Source organism: Homo sapiens, chromosome 1 (assembly GCF_000001405.40).
Source record: "Homo sapiens chromosome 1, GRCh38.p14 Primary Assembly".
Lineage (NCBI taxonomy): Eukaryota > Metazoa > Chordata > Mammalia > Primates > Hominidae > Homo > Homo sapiens.
This window is the reverse complement of record NC_000001.11, coordinates 197,333,770-197,358,527: the sequence shown is the minus strand read 5'-3', so window position 1 is coordinate 197,358,527 and position 24,758 is coordinate 197,333,770. Positions and strand designations below refer to the sequence as shown.

Genomic DNA, 24,758 nt, shown 5'->3' with positions numbered 1-24,758 from the left:
TCAGGACATCTTAACTCATATAGTCATTCCTGGCAGCTCTTCAGAAATCAAGCCCAACACTTTTCTGGAACATTCTACTGTCTCTCCTTTTAGATCTGCAGATTCAAGGGGTCACCCATTTCCTTTTATTTGATGAGGTAATATTAGCAATGTCCTTTGACTTTCACAGAATCACCCCTTTATGACCCTAAAACCAATATTTAAAAAATAATTTATAATGCCTTCACCTTATTCCAAGAAAAATATAAAGTAGCTGACGAAAATGCATACACTAGACCAAAATCAAATAATTTAGAAACAAATTTTTGAAAAGAGGCAATAGTAAGAAACAGAAACAGGAAATTTAAATATCCCCAGAGGTGAGGTAAATACACAAATATATTTCAGAAAGACCTGTATGTTTGCAGATCTCATATTTATTTCTAGCAGCTTACATAATTGGGAAATATTATATATTACAAGATTTATTTCATGCATTTAATCAGTTGAGTCACATCAAGATTTATTTGGATGCATTTTTTAAACTAGGGTGGAAAGCATGCATGATAGAAGTTGTTCAGGGAAAATACCACTTTCCTGATATTGACACCTGGGGAATTTTTTTACTGTATGTTCTCCTTGAAAGGTCAGTGAATAAGGAAATAAACATTTTTTTTATCGACCTTGCAGCAAACACTGCCACAAATCAAAGACCATTAAATTTCAAAACTGAAACATTGAAAGAGAATCCTAAGTGTAAATAGACACCCCCTTCTTTTCTTATTTCTCATTTACTTTTCTCAGAAATCCTCAACAACAACTGATATATTTTCCAGAGGCATCACTTAATCTATTGAGAAAGAAATATGATAGAGATCTAGATTGTAATTGGTTTTCTCAGTGATATCAATGCAATTGTAGGTAAATTGCTAGCCATTAATGAATTGGGGAATGCCTCAATAATTCTGAAAATTTTCAGAACAGAAAGCAGACAATACAAAACTGTTCATTGGATAACATACATGCAAATTTCCTCTGGGTTTTAGGTAAGCAAGTTGTGAAAAAAAAAGAGTAATTTAAATTTGATATGTGGAATGACTTTAGCTACAGAATCGTTGAGGAAGATTACTTGAGACTAGGTCATTTTTCCCAGTGTAAATATAAGTACAATAACTTTTCTAGCAAATTTGAATAACATAAAATTTAACATCATTATCAAATTTGATAGCATAAAAATTTCAACATTTTCTGTGTGTAACGTAAAGAACTTGAGATGCACTCCAGTTCCCAGTATAGCATATAAAAATGTCATCCCTTTCATTCCTCCTTTATCCCTCTTTAATATTTCTCTCGTGATTTGAGGAATTCTGAAATGTGAAACAAGATACTTTTCATGCCCACAAGGGGGACCCTTTGCACCACAGCAGCAGAGTTTACACAGTACAGCTCTTCCTGCTAATACACCATTTGGTTAAAGCCATGGTCTGCCATAAAATACCAGAAAGTCAAGTCATATCCCATCTCCTTGGCCTCACCTGTGAATCCAGGCTGACAGATACAGACATAACCTGAGGCTTCATGGTAGCTGAAAGAAGAAGGCAGTCCAGTGATGCGTCCATATTGTTTCTCTGAGGACAGCTCCACACATTCCCCATTGGACTGGCAGGGGTTACTATTGCATTCATTGAGGTCGATCTCACACTGGGCACCTGTGTATCCTGCATGATGAAAATTCAGAGAAGCTGCTAAGTCAAAGGTGTTGAATTATAGAGCATTTGCCTAAAAGGAGGTTGACTGCTATACTGGCATTGATTTAGCAAGTTGATGTGCCTGCCCTCAAGGAGCTGGTAAGGGGAATCTGGTAAGAGGAGGCTTAGTGGAAACAAGTACTAGTATCAGTAAAATCACTTAAATAATTTTGACCAAAAAATTTTAAAGAAAAATTTGATTAATAAGACTTGAAATAAAATTAGATGTCAGGATAACCTGGATTTAACCTGAACATTTTAATGAAAGCCTCCAATTTTTCAAATACTCATTTGTGAATTTGTATTTAAAAATATTTCAATAGCTGAAAAGTCAGCAAATATCCACAAAACCAAACTAAATTCTCTTAAAACTCAAAGTAAAGGTAAATCCTTATTTCATAGCATTCAATGAAACAGAATAAGAGGTTGTTTTAAATTTGCATGGACTTAGCTGGATTATTTTATTAGGACCAGGAATAAGAACAGTAAAACATGATTTGTCACTTTATAGATAATTAAAACATTAAATATCAATGAAAGTTCTCTACTTGAACTTTTTCTTTGCTTTTATAAATACGAGCAACTGTAAGAAATACATACAGTTTTAGTGTATGTGACTGTTTTAACATAACTGGAACTGTATTATCTGCATTCTTTAGCAACTTGCTTTATTCACTCCCTTGCACAGTCTAGCCATGTTAGTAATATAGATCTAACTCACAATTTATAACTACTGCCAAGTATTTCAGAATATAGATGTGCCATGCCTTAACCATTGTCTTACAGTTTAACCTTTGTTTTATGTACATTTTTGCTATTGTGATGTTGCAATTAATATCATTATGAGAGGTGACAGTGTGCTGGCAGCCCTCGCAGCCCTCGCTCGCTCTGGGCGCCTCCTGGGCCTGGGCACCCACTCTGGCCACGCTTGAGGAGCCCTTCAGCCCACCGTTGCATTGTGGGAGCCCCTCTATGGGCTGGCCGAGAATGGAGTCGGCTCCCTCAGCCTGCGGGGAGGTGTGGAGGGACAGATGTGTGTGGGAACCGAGGCTGCACGGGCGCTTGCGGGGCTGCGTGAGTTCTGGGTGGGCGTGGGCTTGCCGGCCCAAAACTCAGAGCGGCCGGTGGGCGCCGCTGCCCACGGCATTGAGGGGCTTAGCACCCGGGCCAGCAGCTGTGGAGGGTACGCAGGAGCCCCCAGCAGTGCCAGCACACCAGTGCTGCTCTGGAATTCTCGCCAGGCCTCAGCTGCCTCCCCTCAGGACAGGGCTCGGAACCTGCAGCCCGCCATGCCTGAGCCCCCCGCAATCCCCCAGGGCTCCTGAGCAGCCCCAGCTTCCAGGATGAGCACCACCCCCTGCTCCGCGGCGCCGGGTCCCATCAACCGCCCAAGGGCTGAGGAGTGCCAGCGCACTGCGCGGGACTGGCGGGCAGCTCCACCTGCGGCCCCTGCGTGGGATCCACTAGCTGAAGCTAGCTGGGCTCCTGAGTCTAGTACGGATTATGTCTAGCTAAGGGATTGTGGATGCACCAATCAGCACCCTGTGTCTAGCTCAAGGTTTGTGGATGCCCAATGGGCACTCTGTATCTAGCTAATCTGGTGGGGACTTGAAGAATATTTATGTCTAGCTAAGGGATTGTAAATACACCAACCAGCACTCTGTGTCTAGCTTAAGGTTTGTAAACACATCAATCAGCACCCTGTGTCTAGCTCAAGGTTTGTGGATGCAACAATAGGCACTCTGTATCTAGCTAATCTAGTGGGACTTGGAGAATCTTTATGGCTAAGGGATTGTAAATACACCAATCAGCACTCTGTGTCTAGCTCGAGGTTTGAAAATGCACCAATCAGTGCTCTGTCAAAATGGACCAATCAGCTCTCTGTAAAACAGACCAATTGGCTCGCTGTAAAATGGACCAATCAGCAGGATGTGGGTGGGTGGGCGGGGGGGGGGGGGTGGGCGGGGGGGGGGGGTGGGGGGGCGGGGGGCAGATAAGGGAATAAAAGCAGGCTGCTGGAGCCAGCAGTGGCAACGTGCTGAGGTCATGTTGTACACTGTGGAGGCTTTGTGCTTTTGCTTGTTGAAATAACTCTTGCTGTTGCCCACTGTTTGGGTCCACACTGACTTTATGAGCTGTAGCACTCACCATGAAGGTCTGCAGCTTCACTCCTGAGACCAACAAGACCACGAACCCTCCAGGAGGAATAAACAACTCTCCAGACGCGGCCAGACGTGCCATCTTAAGAGTTGTAACACTCACTGCAAAGGTCTGCGGCTTCACTCTTGAAGCCAGTAAGACCACGAACCCACCAGAAAGAAGAAACTCTGAACACGTCCGAACATCAGAAAGAACAGACTGCGGACACCCCATCTTTAAGAACTGTAACACTCACTGCGAGGGTCTGTGGCTTCATTCTTGAAGAGTCAATCAGACCAACAACCCACCAATTTCGGACACAATTATACATGGCTGTCTGTGTAAGCGTTTTGAGTTTAACCCTACAGTTTATGCCTAGAGATGGAATTTGTGGGTCATAAGTAATGTACATTTTTAATTTTAATAAAAGCTGCCAAACATCTCTAGTTGTACCATTTGCACATTACCAGCAGTGGATGATTGTGAATGTGGCTCAAAACGTTTGCCAACCTTTGCTATCACCAAATATATAAATTTTACCAGCTGGTTGGATAAAATATAGTATCTCACTGTTACTTTGGTTTACGTTTTCCCCAGTTAATATTGAGCTGAACATTTTGGGGGTGTTTTTTTTTTTTTTTACCATTTCATATTTTTTCCTGTTTTTTTCATTAGGTTGTTTTCCATATTGATTTGTAAGAGTATTTATATACTATGTATACTGCTCGCCCCAAAATGTAAATTTAGTAGGATGCACATATAACACTGATGGTCAATAGGATAATATCAAGTGTTTTGTAACGTGGTAAAAGAAATGTATAAAGTTTTTTTTTTTTTTTTTTTTTTTATTTATATATTTTTGAGACGGAGTCTCACTCTGTAGCCCAGGGTGCAGGGCATTGGTGTGATCTTGGCTGACTGCAGCCTCCATCTGCTGGGTTCAAGTGATTCTCCTGCCTCAGCCTCCCAAGTAGCTGGGATTACAGGCGTGTGCCACCATGCCCGGCTAATTTTTGCATGTTTAGTAGAGACGAAGTTTCACCATGTTGGCCAGTCTAGTCTCGAGCTCCTGACCTTAGGTGATCCACGCGCCTCGGCCTCCCAAAGTGCTAGGATTACAGGCGTGAGCCACCTCATATTTTTAAAGAAACACAATTCAACTTCACAGTCGCCTAAGGCCCTTTGCAATATCATTTAACTCTGCTGAGAAATGTTTTGGAAACAATTTACAGTTGAGAATTATAAAACTTGTAAACTAAATCATAGTATGTGTTTACTTTAAAATCATTCAACAACTTCCCCTTTCACATAGAAAGGAATTCAACATCCTTAACATAACTGTAAAAACTCCCTGCATTCCCACAGCCTTCGTGATGTTTTTCTCTCTTCTAGAAAACTCTCCTTCAAGTGTTTTCTTGGCTAACTCTTACTCAATTTTCAGACTTTATCTTGTATTGCTTTCTCAGAATAACTTTCCATCATGGGCAGATATAAATAAGATCCCCTTATTTTCTCTCATGCCACCCAATTCTTTTCTTTCATTGCTCTCATTGTAATTTTAAATATATATTGATTTGTGTATATGGTTTCCTCCCTCAGCAGGCTGTGTGCTTCACAAAACAGAGACTGTGTTCATTTTATTTACCAGTCCAGGACTGAGCAATATGTAAGCAGTAGACCTTCAATCACTAGTACTACTCAAAGATTGAAAATAACAATTTAGATTATAATCCTAGTTTAGCACATAAACCAGGGAATTGACTATTAATAAGCAAATAATGAGATTGTAATGTGTTTGCTCATTTTGTATTAGTTTTAATAAACACCTAAATGAGATCATATGTTAAATCATAACCACAACATAAATTCTGCAGCTCAACAGTGTAATATATTTTTTACAAAAAGACCCTTGGGGCCTTTCTCAACAATCTGAAGAAGAAACTTAGAGTCAAAAAGTTAAAAAAAAAAAAAAAAAGGAAAGTAAAATAACATGTCAGATCAAGACCCAACAATCCTTTGTAGTGACCCCCCGCAACAAAGATCATTCAGAGTCTCTTAAACTTGAATGTCTACCTTTTGAATATTATTATTTCATACTTAAGGTTCTTCAAATACATTAAATAATAGTTTTTACAATAAGTTTTTATTAACTGGTATTTGTTGTGCCACAATGGACTTATTGAAGAAAGGCTGGACTATTTTCAATTTTCTTCTCATTCTAAGACTCGAGACACACATAAGCCAGGTTAGGGAGTAATTTAGAATCATCATAAATCCTTTTTTTGCTTTTCTGGCTCATGCATTATCTCATTCCAATCGTGAACATTAGGAAGATTCTGATTTATAGTCTTGCCAGTCCTGTCCCCAACACTGAGGCCCTGTGGGGATTTTATTTGCTGCTTTCTTTAACCATGTATATAAATAGACTCCTTCAGTCAAGACTGTATTCAATAGTTTTAACAAATTTTTCTGTAAAACTCTGAACAAATAAACAACATGATACTGAGTCACATCCCTGGGGTTCTTATATTATGTTTGTTAACAATTCCAATCACATCTGGGCATCAGGAAATCTTTGAAAGTAAGCATTTAAGGTGACTGACACTTCTTGTAATTATTAATTACTTCTGAAATGAGGACCCTAGGCAATTACATCAGTGGATTCTTGCCATTGTGTTCTGTGGCAGTGAAGTCATGAGCTGAAGAAATGGTCTCCTTTTCTTAGATATAGAGTAGTTTGTAGTGTTAACTTTTATCTTTGTATACAACAGCAAGATAGGTTACAAGGGTATTCAGGATGTTCTATCTAGGCAAAATTACCATCCATGCAGTAACCCAAGGCAGAAACCCAGAGGCAGAACTGTCCTAAACCTGTGCCCTTTTCTCACTCCCCACATCATTTCCAGCTCCTATGTGACTCTCAGGACTACCCCTCGCCCCAACCTTAACCACTGTTGTCTTCGTTCTAGCAAACAGGCTCATCTCTTCAAACTACCTAGGAATCTACTCACTAGATTTCCCTGCCTTTAGTGTTATTTTCTTTGATCATCTGCCATGAAGCCAGGGAACTCTTTTGAAATTAACAAAGCAAATTTTGTTATTTCTCTGCCCCGTAGTTGGCAGGGCAGATATGGAGTTTTGTGATCTGGCTTTAGTCCTGCTCCCCAGTTCAATGTTTCTACCTCCAGCCCTACACAGTCCAGTATTTTTGCAATCATTCAAAGTTCCACAATTGGACATGCTCTTTTCTTTTTTTCTCTTTTCTTTTCTTCTCCTTTTTTTTTTTTTTTTTTTTTTGCCAAGTCTCACCCTCTCGCCCTGGAGTACAGGCTGGAGTGCAGTGGCGCGATCTCGGCTCACTGCAACCTCCGCCTCCCAGGTTCAAGTGATTCTCCTGCCTCAGCCTCCTGAGTAGCTGGGACTACAGGCATGCAACACCACACCCGGCTAATTTTTTTTTTTTTTTTTTTTTTTGTATTTTTAGTAGAGATGGGGTTTCACCATGTTGGCCAGGCTGGTCTCAAACTCCTGACCTCAAGTGATCTGCTTGCTTTGGTCTCCCAAAGTGCTGGCATTACAGGTGTGAGCCAAGGCGCCCAGCCAGACATGCTCTTTTCTATGGGTGCCTGCCACCTTTCTTGCTTCTTTCTTTCCTCTTCTCCTTCCGTTCTTCATTTATTAAATAAGTAATGGACTACACAACTTCCTAATTTTGATATTTATTTAACTTTTACTTAGTGCTTACTGTGGTCCAGGATAAGCCAGGAGTTTTATATACATTACTGGATTTATCTCTGAAACAGCTCCATCCTGTGGATATTATAAATGAGGAAACTGAGGCTCAGAGCAGTAATTTGTCCAAAGTCACACAGCTAGTGAATACATTTATGGAACTTAGTCATCTTTAGCTTATCTAAAATGGTGCCTCTTTGATCAAGCTATCCCTGCACTTCTTCTCTATTCATTTTTACAGAATTTAGTATAGCCTCTTATTGTACCAAAAATTGTACTATATACGTTTTGACATATGTCTCGCTACTAGAATTTAGGCTCCTTGGAGGAAGGGACGATACCTTTTATATTCCCAGATCCCTATTGTATTAGCCACTGAAATCCATGTGGCTTAAATGCTTGAATCCATGAATGAATGGAACATGTACTAATTGGGTTTCTTGAGGTAGATGTTCTTAACTGCCTGACTCCATTACAAACTCTCGCCCTCCTACATAATTTCCACCTCATGGTATAGAATTTGCTACATAGTTGCCCTTTTTTGAGTGCTTAATATGTGCAAGGCTCTATTTTTACAATTTTACTTTTCATAATAATACTACAAGTAAAGTATTTTTATCCCTCTTTTGCAGATGAGGAACTTAGAGATGAAGAGGAAACTCACCCGAGTTCACTCAGTTAATAAACAGGAAACATATCCTACTCCTAAACCATCCACTCCGCCCTCTGCTTCTGGACAGAGATCTTTCATGAGTGTTGGTTGGTGACAAGAACATGAAACTACATAGTTTGGAAAATTTTCAGGTTTTTTTTTTTTTTTTTTGAGACGGAGTCTCGCTCTGTCGCCCAGGCCGGACTGCGGACTGCAGTGGCGCAATCTCGGCTCACTGCAAGCTCCGCTTCCCGGGTTCACGCCATTCTCCTGCCTCAGCCTCCCGAGTAGCTGGGACTACAGGCGCCCGCCACCGCGCCCGGCTAATTTTTTGTATTTTTAGTAGAGACGGGGTTTCACCTTGTTAGCCAGGATGGTCTCGATCTCCTGACCTCATGATCCACCCGCCTCGGCCTCCCAAAGTGCTGGGATTACAGGCGTGAGCCACCGCGCCCAGCCAAATTTTCAGTTTTAAGTCAAGTTGATGACCAAAGGTTAGCAAATATTCCTCATTTATTATCTGCAAGTGGGAAGACATAACATATATAGATTTCCAAGCCACAGCATTCCAAACTTCATTTTATATTTTCATTTATTTTTCCTATAAAATGTATTTAACCAAAGATGTTAAATGTCTCTTAGGCAATAGGATATCTTTCAACCAGAAGCTACTACTGATTAGATTGACTAGTCTCCAGGTTTCCTTTCCACCCACAAGATTATCATTTTCTTAGACAATAAAGTTAGTGGGGAGAGAGAGACAGATGATCAGTAAGCTTATATAACTAGGCCTTGAGTAATCATAAGTTTATCATTTTTTCCCAGTAAATAAAGCAAGAGGAGATAGGAGATGCTGTGTCTTTTATTTTTATCAAAAAATCCTAATGAGAATTAGATTTTAAAAAAGAGTCATGCATCACTTAAAGACAAACATTTGTTCTGAGAAGTAAGTCATTACACAATTTCATCATGGTGTGAAAATCATAGAGTGTACTTATACAGACCTAAATGTTATAGCTGACTACATACCTAGGCTATAGGGTATAGTCTATTGCTGCTAGGCTACAAACCTGTACAGCATGTTACTGTACTGAATACTGTAGGCAATTGAAACACAATGGTATTTGTGTATCTAAACATACTTAAACATACAAAAGGTACAATAAAAACACAGTATAAAAGATTTTTTTAAGTGGTACACCTGTGTAGGGTACTAACATGAATAGAGCTTGGAGGTCTGGAAGTTGCTCTTGAGAGTCAATGAGTAATGAATGAATGTGAAAGCCTACAACATTATTGTATACTACTGTAGATTTTATAAATACTGTATGCTTAGGCTACTCTAGGTTTATTAGAAAATTTTCTGTCTTAAAAACTAACCTTAGTGTACTAGAACTTTTTTACTTTATAAATTTTTCAAATTTTTAAACCTTTTGGCTCTTAAATAATGCTTAGCTTAAATCACAAACACATGTACAGCTGTATAAAATAATTTCTTTATGGGCCAGGCGCAGTGGCTTATGCCTGTAATCCCAGCACTTTGGGAGGCTGAGGCGGGCGGATCACAAGGTTAGGAGATTGAGCCCATCCTGGCTAACACAGTGAAACCCCGTCTCTACTAAAAATACAAAAAATTAGCCGGGCATGGTGGCAGGCACCTGTAGTACCAGCTACTCGGGAGGCTGAGGCAGGAAAATGGTGTGAACCCGGGAGGCGGAGCTTATAGTGAGCGGAGATCACACCACTGCATTCCAGCCTGGGCGACAGAGAGAGACTCCGTTTCAAAAAATAAAAATAAATAAATAAACAATAAATAATTTCTTTACATCTTATTCTATTTTGAATTTTTTAAGCTTTTAAACCTTTTATTAAAAATTAAGAACCAAGCACACACCATAGTCTAGGCCTACATGGAGTCAGGATTATCAATATCACTGTCTTCTACCTCCACATCTTGTCCCACTGAAATGTCTTCAGCAACAATAACACACATGAAGCTGTCATCTCCTATGACAACAATGCGTTCTTTTGGAATACTTCCTGAGGGACCACCACAATCCCATGGATAGTGAGTGATACTACAATGTTAAGACAGCCATGACATCACTAGGCAGTAGGAATTGTTCAGCTCTATTGTAATCTTACAGGACCACGGTTGTATATGTGGTCCGTCATTGACCAAAATGTTGTTATGCAATGCAAAGCTGTATGTCAGGCAGTTTGTTTTGCAAAATTAGCATCAATATTTGCCTATGGCCTGTAATGTAACACAAATGTTACATACTGTTTTCTATTGATTCTTGTATCACCTCTATACTCGTCTAATTATCCTCTATATGTAAACTTTAATTATGGTTTATAGATAATTAACTTTTTATTATATTAACAAATATAACTCTTTACAAATGCCTAAGAGAATACAAGTTTCTAATAGTTTAACATTATTTCATGGATTTCTATATATTCCTGCCATATAAGAGAACATCTTGGAAGAAAAGAGCATCTTCCAGTGAATTTTTCTCCATGAAGATCATGCTGAATTTCATCTTTCCATTGATTTTTCCCTTCTATTCCTCTAGAGGGTTATGATCATTGGGCAGCTTGGTAACCTACTTCAGACAACATTTAGTATAGCAGTAAATATGTGTGAGCACTGAAGAATAAAACTAAACAATATTAGCTAGAAGAAATTGATTTAAAACATTTAACAACAATAATTTTTCATTTCATTTGCTATAAGCGATATGTGTATTCTAAACAAATGAAAAATAATTGGTGGAAGGTATTTTGTCACTCACCAGGCCAGCAGTGACAAGTGTAATTGTCAACACTGTCCTCACATGTAGCATTATTGTGACAAGGTTTTGACCAACAAAGAGGCATCAAGGTCTCACAGTGTGTCCCTGTGAATCCACTACCCGTGCAGTTACAGCTATATCTGGAAAGTAAATGAAATTTTCATGTCAACTCTTAGTCATATTGAGATCAGATATCTTTATACTGTTTCTTCAACTGTCTATCAACCCAAGACCCATGGCATCATCTTACTACCTCAAAAACTCTGGGGAATTATCTATACAGGACTGAATGCATGATTTATTTCCATATTAATGTCTTATTAACTTTAAAAAATTTAAAGTACAGGGTCATGCAAACCATGACTATTTAGTTCAGTTTCTTCATTCATAAATTGAATATAGTACCTATATTACAAGGTTATTGTGACAATTAAGTATGCATATAAAGAATAGACACAGTATTCCACATATCTGAAGTACTAAATATGTTGCTACTAAATAGCACTTAATAAAATTGTTAATATTTTTTAAGGTGGTAGAGAATGATTTATACCATCATGGCACTCTGTTATACAGAGAGCCCATTAATAAGGTTCCATATGAAAAGTGAAACCATAAATTATGAAAAACTCAGGAAAAGCCTTTATTAAATGAATTGTGACTTACGATGTTCTCTTATTTTTAGATTGCAAGAATATTTAGGCCTTACTATTTCTAATTATTAACGGAATGACTGGAATTATCAAATAGCCCCAAAATACAAATCTAATGAAGAAAGTTGTTGATTTTATTAAGAGGAGACTTTTAATTTAGGTCGGGGTCTCCTCAAGGATTTAGTATTGTAAAAAATGTACCTGCACACTCAGCTTAGGCAAAATGAGGGTCTTGGGAAAAGAATATCTATGAATTTATAAGGCAGGTAGAGTCCTCTTCGCTATGGCTGTGTGTGTTTTTATCACCAAACCAAATATTGTAAGTGACTGTAATCTTCATATGTGTTGTTAGAAATCTATTCAGTATTCCATTTGTTCAATTAAAAAATACCTACTAAAAATCTAGTATAGGTAAAACATTAGCGACAAAAACCCTGTTGCCAAAGGGCTTGGCTGGCTGACTAGTGGACCTCACGGAATTAGAAGCTCCATTTGCATAATTCCTTTGGTATGCAAGAAGTTCTTTTTTTTTTTTTCAGTTCTGATTTTCCAATGTATCTCATAGCAAACATTTTAAATTTTTGTGGGAACATAAAGTCAGGTTATATTGGATTGATCTTATGACTATCATCTCAACATTTAGGCAATAAGAGATAATGGTACAATAGGGAAATTATTCATGGCATATTCAAGTGAGGAGAATAAAAGATAGCAAAGTTTCAGCCTTGTTTACATTTCCATTGGAATCAAAAAGTTGTGTCGTTTCTGTCCTGATGCTTTCTGGAAACAGTGAAGTATGGAAGGGTAAGCCTCCTTTTCCTCTAGGAGGCCTTGTGTGGAAACTTCCATTGTGACCTGTCTGTCTCTGTGTTGGCCAGTTACCTGTCTCCAGGAATGTAGATTTATGCCCCTAGAGCATTATTGGGGTACAACTAAAAGTCAAAGGCAAGACATGGAATGTAATTAAAAGTTATATTTTAAAAAGAATGTACAACCACATTGTTCTATTAAAATTTGAGAGCCAGGTGCAGTGGCTCACACCTGTAATCGCAACACTTCAGGAGGCAGAGGCAGGTAGATCACCTGCGGTCAGGAGTTCGAGACCAGCCTCGCCAACATGGTGAAACCCTATCTCTACTAAAAATAGCAAAATTAGCCAGGCATGGTGGTGGGCATATGTAATACCAGCTACTCAGGAGACTGAGGCAGGAGAATTGCTTGAACCGGAAGGCGGAGGTTGCGGTGAACCAAGATCACACCACTGCACTCCAGCCTGGGTGACACAGCAAGACTCCATCTCAAAAAAAAAAAAAAAAAAAAAAAAGTCATTATTTTTGCAAATTTTTGAAGCATATGTGCCTTTTATTGCTCTCCTTTTGACTCTGATTCACTTTGAAATTAGATTTGGCATAAATTATGTCTTATTTACTAAATAAAGGAAAACCATTCTGGTCTTCCTTTTGCAAAGAATTAATTGTGTGAACTTGCGGGCGTCTTCTCATTTCCCTAAACTTTAGACTCCTTATTGTAATATGGAAACATAAATACTTATCTTGCCTTCCACTGAGCTGTCGAAGAATCAAACGATAATTTTAAGTGCTAATCTTGTTAAAAATTGTTATGTATTTGGTAACTCAGCATCGTGGCTTAAATAAAGATTAGAAAGTTCTTCAGTGTCGTGGCTTAAATAAGTATTAGAAAGTTCTTTTAAAAATGTTTTATATGAGCTCAATTACTGTTACACACATTTATTATATTCATCATATTGAGATGTAATTTATTGCTGTTCTATTTTGCCTGAAAGCCAATGATAGACTTCAATTTGAAGCAGAATCACATGGCTATTTCTCGCCATTATGCTTTCTCAAAAATATTCACCCAATTCCCTGAACACATGGAAATTAATTCAAGATATAAGTAATTAAATATCACTGCCTTTTCCAACATGGTTTATATAACACTTTAAAAGGATTTATTGCTGTCATCTGATTTATATCCTTGACATATAGATACAAACTTATGTACACATATATAATAATCTCTAGCTCTGTTTTTGCACCTTTCCTATCTACAACAGCTTTATTTCATGGAATTGAAAAATTGGCCATTTTCCATAGGATAAGCAGTTCTAAACTATTACAAGAATGACTTGTAAAATCTTCCCTCTTGAGACAGATGGTCTCCAAGAATACCCTTTTTAGTGAAATCTGAATGTTTTCATCAGTTAAAGTATAAAGTTACACCCCAAATTTTAAGCCGAGAACGTGAGAGCTCTAAATTCAACAGAGTGGTAAAATAGTTCATGGTCAGGGAGTTCTAAGCCAATCACCCAACGCCAGAGAAAATGTACCTGTTTTCTCCATCCACACACAGCCCTCCATGGAGACAAGGTTGACTGGCACACTCATCAGTGTTGAGTTCACAGTGATCCCCCAGGAATCCAGGGGCACAGTCGCAGAAATAGGCCCCCAGAGCATCCTGACAAGTTGCACCATTTAAACAAGGCTGGGACCAACATTCGTCAATTTCCAATTCACAGTTTACACCTTTTAAAAAAGTCAGCACAGAAAAAACAGAAAAAGTTTTAGCAAAGTGTTCATAATTTAGCAATTTGACAATGCTTTGTTTACCAGAGCACTTGTCAAATGTTCTGTTACCCAAAATAACTTTCCCCCTTAATTGTAATTGATATTAACTTTTGGTGTGCTTGTGGGAAGTTGCACAAGGCAGAGCAGCTGTTACAAAGAATTATTGCATACAACAGCTTGTGGTGTTTAGTCCGTGAAAACAAATAAGTCATTTTTAGAACAAAGTTTATTGTTAACTGCACTTTTGTTGGAAGCCTAAAAGTGGCTGGTCGATGTTTTTCCATTATTTTTAAACACTTAATTTAGTAAAGGAGCAGAGAGAACAGTGGGTAAGAGCTCAGACTCCAAAGCCAGACAGTTGGGTCGGGATCCTGGCACAGCCACTTATTAGCTGTATGACCTTGGGCAAGCTTCTCAGCCTTTCCATGTTTCAGCTTCCTCATGTGAAAAAGACGATAGTGGTAATTATCTCATAGGACTCTTAGTCTAATTAAATGTGTTCAAAAGTACTTATAGCAGTACCTGATACATACTAAGTATTTGCTAGAGAAAAAACACTTTTTTCCACAAAAAATCTATTGTACAAATATAATGTGCAATTATTGATCTAAGTGCTCATTTTGCATAGACATTTTTATCTTAATTTTTCTTTTTGTAAAATACTACCCTTAAATACAAAAACTGGTGACAATGTAATTAATGGCATCATTAGAAGCTATTAACACTTCATTTTAAGGTAATGTTATGTTAAAAAAAAACTGTACTTATCCCCCCAAAATTAGTAGGTATTATTTGCTAAGCAAAATAAGTTTATGATTTATACAAGTTGTAGTAGTATTTAAATAACAAACTATTTTATTAAGTGCCAAAATAGTATTTGATATGCAATAATTGCATTTGCATACAGGTTTTAAAAGACACAAAAGGAAGAATATCTATACTTATCCATCTTTATTTCTTTGTTTCTAACCCCAAATAATAAATTATATATTAAAATGGTATTAAAAGACTTTCAAAAAACTCAGAAGTCAGTAGTAGTTCAATTGATTTGTGCCCATTTTTCTCTACAGAAAATGCAGCAGGATATTCTAACACCATCTATTATTTACAACTGTTACTAGATTCAACAAATAACCAACTTAAAAGAGAAGCTAGCATATTAAATTTGATTGTTTTTTAAAAAATAAAAAACTCTAAATTTATGTCGGTGAAAATGGAAATTTTTGCAATAGCACTTGTTTCTAGGTAAGTGGCTTGCTCTTTGAGGCTTAGCTATTTCTACTGCAGTCTGTGAATGAGATTTTCCATGGCTATTTTACTTGGCATAACTAAGGTCATGGAAGAGTGGAAAGAACATAAATTTTTTTGACAGACCATCCAGGACTGAGCTCTGCTCTATCACTACTAACAACGAGGTTGGATACAGTAAATGCTACATCAATGGTAGGTATTACTATAGTGTGTTTGTCATTTCCTGCATTCCACCCTTAATTCTTCAGGGTAGGTAGAATAAAAAATGTTTGAAAAGTGACTGGAAGCAAAGACAACTCTAAAAGAGAATTTAGAATAACCTTAAATTCACTTATCAATAAATATAAATGACATTACTGGGAGTATAAAATATAGAGACTGGAAAAATTTGGAGCAGCCAGCGTGTCAAATACCATTTAAAAAAATCAACAATTAATGTAGAAAAAGCCACAAAGCAATAGCAAATATATAGCTAAAATTAGGTAATAAATATTTGAAGTGGATTAATAGCTTTACAGCTAGACGAGAAGAAGGTAGAAAATGGGGCTTTCCACTACTGGAAAGTTGAAGGTCAAAAACAAGAATGTTTAGAGAGCAATGACAGACACATTCTTGAGATGCTTCTCATTAAGTCCATGATTGTTGGGGAGATGTCAAGATAGAGAAGGAGTGAGAGAGAGTATGGGTATGGAAAGGCCAGGCGACAGAGGTTCTGCTAAAAATTCAATAGTAGAAAGGAAATGAGAAGCCTCAGGATGTGGTGACAATTTCTGTTGTAAAGCAGGTTTGAATGACGCCAGGGTCTAACTTGAAATTGGATCAATGTATGGCTGCAGTGGAATAAAGATGAAGGTGACTGAGAATAAGAAGCTCACAGAATTCCAAAAGCATGGTCCATACAATTCCAATGGCTCCTATTAAAATTCTGTCATCATTCTACATGCTAGTCATATGTCATACCAGACTGTTTGCTTTTCCTCAAACCTACCATATACCTCTACCACTCAAAGTTTTTGTATACACTGATCTCTGTCTGGAATGCTTTTTCCCCCTTGTCCACCCAAGGAAGCCATCCTTTTAAAACTGAAGTTAAATGTCCCACTAGTGGACTCATGGGAACAGTGGTTTCAGCAAGAAAGCCAACCTTCCCTCTTGGCCTTAAGAATGAATCATGGAGATAAGGACTCTTCAAAGAGGATTGTGTGGAAAGTGGTTTCATTGAATAAATGCCAAGTTTCAGCAAAAGCCATGGGATTAAAGGTGCATTGGGAAAAAAAATGTTTGGTTTATCTATTCGTAGTTGAGAAGAGACTATAGGTAGAGAAACAGGTGATCATTCTCACAGAAGTCAGAAAGATTTTTCCCTGTGACGTTTTCACATAAGCGAATGTAGATATACATTAGCATTCTGTACCTCCAGACCAGATCACCCTTTTCTTTTTTTTTTCTGAGATGGAGTCTCACTCATCTCACTTTGCCACCAGTGGTGCTTTCTTGGCTCGCTGCAACCTCTGCCTCCCAGGTTTAAGCAATTCTCATGCCTCAGCCTTCCAAGTAGCTGAGACTACAGGCGCATGCCATCATGCTTGGCTAATTTTTGTATTTTTTGTAGAGATGGGGTTTCACCATGTTGGTCAGGCTGGTCTCAAACTCCTGACCTCAAGTGATCCGCCTGCCTCAGCCTCCCAAAGTGCTGGGATTACAGGCATGAGCCACTGCGTCTGGCCCAGATCATCCTCCTGATACCGTCTAGAATGTCTTCTTCAGTTATCTCACAGGCATTGAGATCTCAATGGCATTGAGTTATCTCACAGGCATTGGCTGTGTCCCCATCCAAATCCCATCTTGAATTCCCAGGTGTTATGGGATGGACCCTGTGGGAGGTAATTGAATCATGGGGGCAGGTCTTTCCTGTGCTGTTCTTGTGATAGTGAATAAGTCTCACAAGATCTGATGGTTTTATTAGGGGGAGTTTCCCTGCACAAGCTCTCTCTTTGCCTGCTGCCATCCATGTAAGACGCAACTTGTTCCTCCTTACCTCCTGCCATGATTGCGAGACCTCCCCAGCCATGTGGAACTGTGAGTTAATTAAACCTTTTTCCTAAATAAATCACCCAGTCTAGGGTATGTCTTTATTAGCAGAGTGAAAATGGACTAATACAGGCATCATTCCACAATTCCAAATAATGATAACCTTCATCTCCCCACCTGTGCTGATTTGCGCCACCCCCATCCCTGCCAAAACTCTCCTCTCAGTGAATGGTATTATCATCCAGGTCATCCAAGCCATAGTTCTAGGAGTTATCATCTTATTTGCCACTATTCCCCGTGTCCTAATTAGTCATCAGATCTCATCATCTCTCTCTTAGAAATGGATCTAAGGTGCCATCCTTATTGCTGTGACCTTAATTCAACCCTCATCATGTCTCATCTGCTCTCACTATTATTGACTTCTCTTTTCGCAATCACTCTCTACATTTCTATAGAAATGTGATCACTATAAAGTACAAATATAATTGTACCCTCGTCTGCTTAAATTTTTGACATCATCCCCTCTCTATCTCCCTGTCTCTGAAATAAAGCATAATTGCCTTGTAATGCAGTAGAAGCTTCTAAAAGATGTAGATTCTACTGGTGCCACCCACAGCAGTGGCCTCACAGCTCCACTGTATCTCAAGACTCCAGGCTGCATATAGGTATTTCCCTTACTTGTAATGCCCCACTCCTCACTCCCTCCTTCCCCAGGCTAGCTCCAGTTAGTTCCCAAATATCCAGTTTGTGTATCCCATGATTCTGGAAACTATAGTTACTTATATTTGCCTCTAATGCTGCTTCACTGTGCTCTCAAAATTCCCCTTAATATAAATGTCTATATATATTGTCCTCAATTGCTTATTTTTCTATTTTATCTACAAAATTGTGAGCTCCTTGAGGTCAGGGCCTTTGACCTTTAACACCAATATCTGTGGCATTTAGCACATATTCTTGAATATTTAAAAAGTGCTCAATAAATGTTGAATGCATGAATAATCAAGTCACAGCTATGGAATAATCAACCACCTCTACAGGAAGGCAAACTGTATGCCAAACAGAGCTTCTCAGTGCTTCCACAAGCCATAAATCAAAAGCCCAAAAGTCAAATTTGTGGCTTTGGCAAATGTTTAAAACCTATTATGGTTTCAGAATGATTGTGCCCCAAACTTGTGATCAGTATTTAGAGACTTTGCACTCCAATTGGCATCTTTCGGCATTTAGAGATCCATGTTAAGATTCCGTGCCACAAGATAATGGACATTATATCCTATCAGGATGGAACAGGTCTTGACTTTGACGCTGTCTTCATCATTCTTTACAGTGGGCAGGGAGCACACCATGCACGCAGCAAGGTGTTGATAAACCATTCTGAATGCCTTTCTCATTATCTGCAGAGTCCACGCTTTGGAAATAATTGTAGTCTGGCTTCAGACTATCATCTTAAATTTCAAATTCCATTCAATGTATGTGATGCCTAACAGGCCTCTATGCATAATATTTTTCTTTTGAATAATAATTATGTATGCTATTTTGGGGCTTTTTATGTATATCAAGTACAACAGTTATCAGTGCAAGTCGGTGACACAAGTATCAGAGCAATGTGGAACTGTAGCATTCGGTTTTCATTATAGTGATAGATTTACAGTAAGTTCTCCTCCTAGATATTATAGTCAATCTGTTTAACATCCTAAAGCAATAAGGAGAGGCTGGATGACTTCCTGCTCTGATTAATAACATAAGCATAACAATGTTTAGCAAGATGTTGTAAGAGATTAAACGTGGATAATTATTATTTTCAGTGGGAACATCTTTGGCGTTTTAGCCAATGAGATTTCTGGCTTGTGAATTTAGACACACCTTTCCTAAGGACACCAAAAATAACAAAATTCTCTTTTTGAATCATTCACTTAAAGCAGATTTTACAAGCCCAGGATTCTATCTCTGAAGGACTGCCGAATTTTGTCAATTCTGACTCCTTTTTTACTCCCTCACATTTTTAACTCTCTAGAACCGAGATGCACTTTACAATCAGCAGTGCCTTAGCCTCTTGTTACAACTTAACCAAATAATTTTTCTTTCTTAATGATATCTGAAATGTATGTAAGACTGATGATGTATTAAATCTGATGATACAGAAAATTTGTCTTTATAAATATTATTAATGCTTTGTCATTATTTTATTTAACTATTTGATTATATTTTATTATTTTGTTATTGTGACTATTATAATCCTTTTTGTTTCTACAAGTTTTGCTTTACTGCTAGACAAAACTGTAATAACCTGTGGTTTCCATATTAAACATTTTTTTCAGGTTTTCTTAATCCTTTTCACATTGTGTCCTCTTTGGTACCATTTTACCATCAGTGAAAGTTTAAGAATGTTCTTGACAGTTTCAAAACCATCTTCCCAGAATATCATGGAGGCTGAAACTAATTCTAGGAAGAGAAAGAATGTCTTCTCTTTGTCAGCCCTAGGAGTGGGGCATTGGGAGGAAATTCTCCTACTTCCTTGTATCTAATGATTACAGTTGTCTGTTTGGAGAACAGTTTCTTCTAATTCTGTGAGCTCATTCTTCATTCCTCTTCTCCAGCCATTTTTCTCTAAATCCATCTGTATGCCATTTCTCCCACTTCACTTGCATCATAAATATCATAAAATTTACAAGATAGTAATATATTATTTTCCCAAGTTAAACGAATGACTTTCCCCCTACACTTTCTATATTTTATACATATATATACACCCACACTTTTTAAAAGAATTATGAAAATAGCAAAATATATATCAAATTTTAAAAGCTGGAGTAACCCATTTCAGAGACTCCAAGATGCTATGTTTGAAAAATACACTACTTTTATGAATGGTTTATGCTTTAATTTTATGTTTTTTTGAAAGATTATAGAAAAATTACAACATTCTCATTTTATGTTAAATACATCAGTATTAAACATTATATATTTTCGTACTTCCATAATTATGTTTTAATCATAGCAAATTACTTTCTTATGTTTCTCTTCATTAGGATAATTACTATTCCTAAATATATGAAATTGTTAAAATAGTAGTAATTTCTTAGTTCTTTATTTTATGATATGGCCATTTTAGAAGTTGAATTCTTGCCTACACATATTAAAATATTACACTTTAAATTTATAAGTGTGGCAGAGAGATTTTGACCGAACTTCAGTTAATCTATTCCTGAGTTGGGTTCTAACAGTATTCAAAAAATAATACTTTCAAGTAATCAGGTATAAGATTACTTGAATGCAATTCAAATATAAGAAAATGATACCTGTAAAAAACAAAGGCAAACATTGTTTAGATACCATAGGTATTCATTAGTAGCAATGTTTTAAGAGACAGAAATATTGGCAATTAACTCTTTCATAGCCTAAATAGTCTATGGAAAAACTTTTGTTAATCCATTTCATTCTCATCATGACCCTAAAAGTTAGGTTGTATTACCATGCCAATCTTTGAATGAGGAAATGGAAGTTCATAATTGTTATTTATCAGTACCAAACCACTAGAGAACATCTAGGCTGAGCCTGGAATCCCTGTCTTCTACTTCCAAATTTGTCTTTCCACCACATCCGTTCTTTATATTACTATATATTTTTTGGCTCATCCCCTTTGCATTCGGACTGGCACACACACCCTGCTGATAACTAGGTAGGCACTAGGAGAAATAGCAGTCACATGTCAGAGAGAAAGCTGTCGTTCTGGCTCATAGATTATAATTTCTTTCTATGTCCTCACATGGTAGAAGGGGTGAGGGATCTCTCTTGGACCTCTTTTATAAGGGCACATAGCCTATTTATGAGAGCTTCCCCGCAATGACCAAATTACCTCCCAAAAGCCTCACCTTTTCATCGCCTTGGACAGCATTTCAACATATACATTTTGGAAGGACCAAACTTTTCAGATCATAGCAACACCTTTCCAAAATATCTCTGCAGTCCTTCTCCCTTGATATTCAACATGTTATTGTTCAAATAATAATAGTAAATGTAGGAGGAAGATACAAGTTTCAGTTTTACATTCTGAAAGGGATGCATTTTTGCTCTACTCATAGGCCATTTTTTTTCCTAGGAACATTTCCTGACTCCAACCAACATTACCAGCTTCTTTCTTTGTTCTTCCACAGCATGATGTTTATAGACAGATGGTAATTGTTGTTTACATTCCTGATCCCAGAATAATTTGTGAGCATTTTGTCAGGAATACATTTTATCTTAGTCACTTTTACATCTCCGAAGTCCGCACAATGCCCAGTGCATTGCAAATATAAGTATTTGCTGAGTGAATATTTGTTATTTTGTGCACTCATTCAACAAACATTTGTCAAAACCTGGAAACTTCATTTATTCATAAAAACTACTTCAAATGACTCTAGTTCTGAGCAAAAGCCTGAACAAGTGTTTAATTTTCTTTATAAGACACCATAAAACATTATCAATTTCATAATTAAGCGCATATAAAAACAACCATTTTTCTTTGATATAATAATATTATTTCTCATGAAATAAGCTTATATTTAATAACATATTTTATTTTCCTCAAATTATTTCCCATGACCATTAAATTATCTATATTATTTGCCACAGATGCCTTCAAAGTGATTTAGTTGATCAAAATATATTTAGAAAAGATAGAACACCAAGCCCAGATTCAAACCTCCACAACGACTGAAATTCGAATTATGTCTTTGATATGTGCCACTGTAATGGCAGTGTCAGTTACATCATACCTCTTAGACTTATGCATCAGCATGGATGAGGACTATTGGAGAAGGCCCAAGAGGAACAGGAATTATCATTAAAAGTAAAAGAAGTGCTGATAGGACACTTTAAATGAGTAACCATCATGTAACCCAGGGAGGTAAAATATGTTGCAGTTGTGTACGTGAAAGACACTGCATGGCAATATGGTGGACAGAAGCTACTAAGAAAGACTGCATTCTTGTTAGAATATTCTAAAGGACAGATTTGTTCTGAATAATCTAGACATTGCCATCAGAGGGCAATAGAGGGCAGAGAGAGAAAGGCATGCTTTCATTTTGTTTGCATGATCCATGATCCTTCTTTGTTAATTTCCATCTTAAATGTTAAGGGTGGAACAGGGAGGGGAGAAAGTTACTGTTAAAACTTGATAGGGGCCGGGCGAGGTGGCTCATGCCTGTAATCCCACCACTCTGGGAGGCCTAGGCGGCGGATCACAGGCTCCGGAGATCGAGGCCACCCTGGCTAACATGGTGAAATGCCATCTCTACTAAAAATGCAAAAAATTAGCTGGGCGTGGTGGCACGCTCCTGTACTCCCAGCTACTAAGGAGGCTGAGGCAGGAGAATTGCTTGAACCTGGGAGGTGGAGGTTGCAGCGAGCCGAGATTGCACCACTGCACTCCAGCCTGGGCAACAGAGAGAGACTCCATCTGAAAAAAAAAATTAAAACAAAAAGAAACAAAAAACTTGATAGGTCTCTTTCACTCTTCTCTCCCACAAGGAGTGGATTTTCTTGGACTATTGTATTAACCTCCCTTAGACACTTGAATTCCATGCTTATCGCCCCCTGCAGTGTATCTTCAACATAATAAGCAGAGTGACCTTGTTAAAATGTAAGTCAAATCATTTCAGTTCTCTGCTCAGAACTCTCCAATAACATCCCATCTCACTTAAAGTAAAAGCCAAAGTCCTTACAATGGCCTACAAGGTCCCAAACAGTCTGACCTCATTATTGCTCTGACCTATCTCCTTCCTCCTTCACTCCAGTCACACTAACTTTATTGCTGCTCCTCAAACATTGCAAGGACTCTTTACCTCAGGGCCTTTGCATCTGCTGTTCCTCTGCCTGGAATGCTATTCCACAAGACATTTCCTTGGTTCCCATCCTCTCCTCTTTAGAACTTTATTCACATGTCACCTTCTCAGTGAAGACTTTCTTGATCATTCTACCTAAAGTTAATCCCTAATACCATTATTTTGTTTTACTTTTCTCCATGCAGTTATTACCCTCTAACCTACTATATACAGTATATCTATTACTTGTTTTATAGACATCTATCTCTTCCTTGCAGAATGTAAGAGACTTTGTCATCACTTCTCTTTACGCTTTCATTTTCAGAACATAGAACAATGCCCAATTCATTGAGGTACTCAATATATATGTGTTGAATAAATTAATGATCTAATGAATTCGACAAATATTTAAAAAATCCATATCATGTGTCTTATAGTCCATCTGGTGCTGGTATAACAGAATATATAGGACTGGGTAATTTATAAAGAACAGAAATTTATTTCTCTTAGCTCCGGATGTTTAAAAGTTCAAGACCAAGGTTCCAGTGGGCTTGGTGTCTGGTAAATCCCCACATCCAAGATGGTGCCATGAAGGCTGCATCCTCCAGAGGATAGGAACATTGTTCCTCACATGGCATAAGAGTGGAAGGGGGTGAACCCACTCCAAAAAGCCCTTTTTATTATGGTATTAATCCATTCCTGAAGGTTCCATCCTCATGGCCTAAATACCTCCTCTTAGTTCCCACCTCCCAATACTATTGCATTGGTGATTATGTCTCCAACACATGAGTATTGGAGGAGGCAATCACTCAAATCATATCATCAAGTACCTAGAACTGTTACTAGCAATAAGTGCTTTATATAAAAGCCTGCTTTTATTGATTTGTGTTTCCTTGCCTCATGGACTTTGTGAAATAACAGTCAAGGATGTCACATGGAAATCCACATAACTGTCTATGTCAGTGGTTCTCAAAGTGTAGTCCCCAAACTAACAGCATCAGCATCACATGGGAACTTGTTTTAAATGCATATTCTTGGACCCCCACCTCAGATCTGTTGAACTGAAAACAGTATTTTATTGATAAGCTGTATAGGTGAGTCTGATGCATGCCAACACTTGAGACCCATTGATCTACATTGTAAGCTTATTAAGTTGACAATGCCAGTTAAACTTTTAATGCATTTGTTTCATATCAGAGTTTTCAAGTTTTCCTTGGATACAATAAGTTTGAAAATACTCTGACCTTGATAAATGTTAAGTGAGTCTTGTTTCTAGAGACATTATACTTTCTCTTTCCTTTCATGCCCATGGCCACTCTCCCAGGCCAGGTCCTAAAACCTTATACCTGGGTTATCACAATGGCCTCCTAACTAGTCTCCATGAAC

At 37.9% G+C, this 24,758-nt stretch overlaps 1 protein-coding gene across 13 annotated transcripts in view; it reads right to left on the bottom strand.

Moving 5' to 3' along the window:
- CRB1 (crumbs cell polarity complex component 1) overlaps nucleotides 1-24,758 on the bottom strand; it is a 276,952-nt gene that overhangs the window by 119,928 nt on the left and 132,266 nt on the right. For 10 of the 13 annotated variants that reach the window (NR_047564.2, NR_047563.2, NM_001257965.2 and 7 more), the window contains 3 exons: nucleotides 14,052-14,247; nucleotides 11,049-11,188; nucleotides 1,515-1,697 (listed from right to left, as the gene is read on the bottom strand). Coding sequence is in view for 11 of the 13 variants with exons in the window: in NM_001257965.2 (NP_001244894.1) it covers nucleotides 1,515-1,697; nucleotides 11,049-11,188; nucleotides 14,052-14,247 (519 nt within the window). In the remaining 2 variants the exon portion in view is untranslated. Of the gene's footprint in view, nucleotides 1-1,514; nucleotides 1,698-11,048; nucleotides 11,189-14,051; nucleotides 14,248-24,758 lie in introns of those variants that run through there. The other 3 variants (NM_001193640.2, XM_047416574.1, XM_047416575.1) reach the window with 2 other exon arrangements.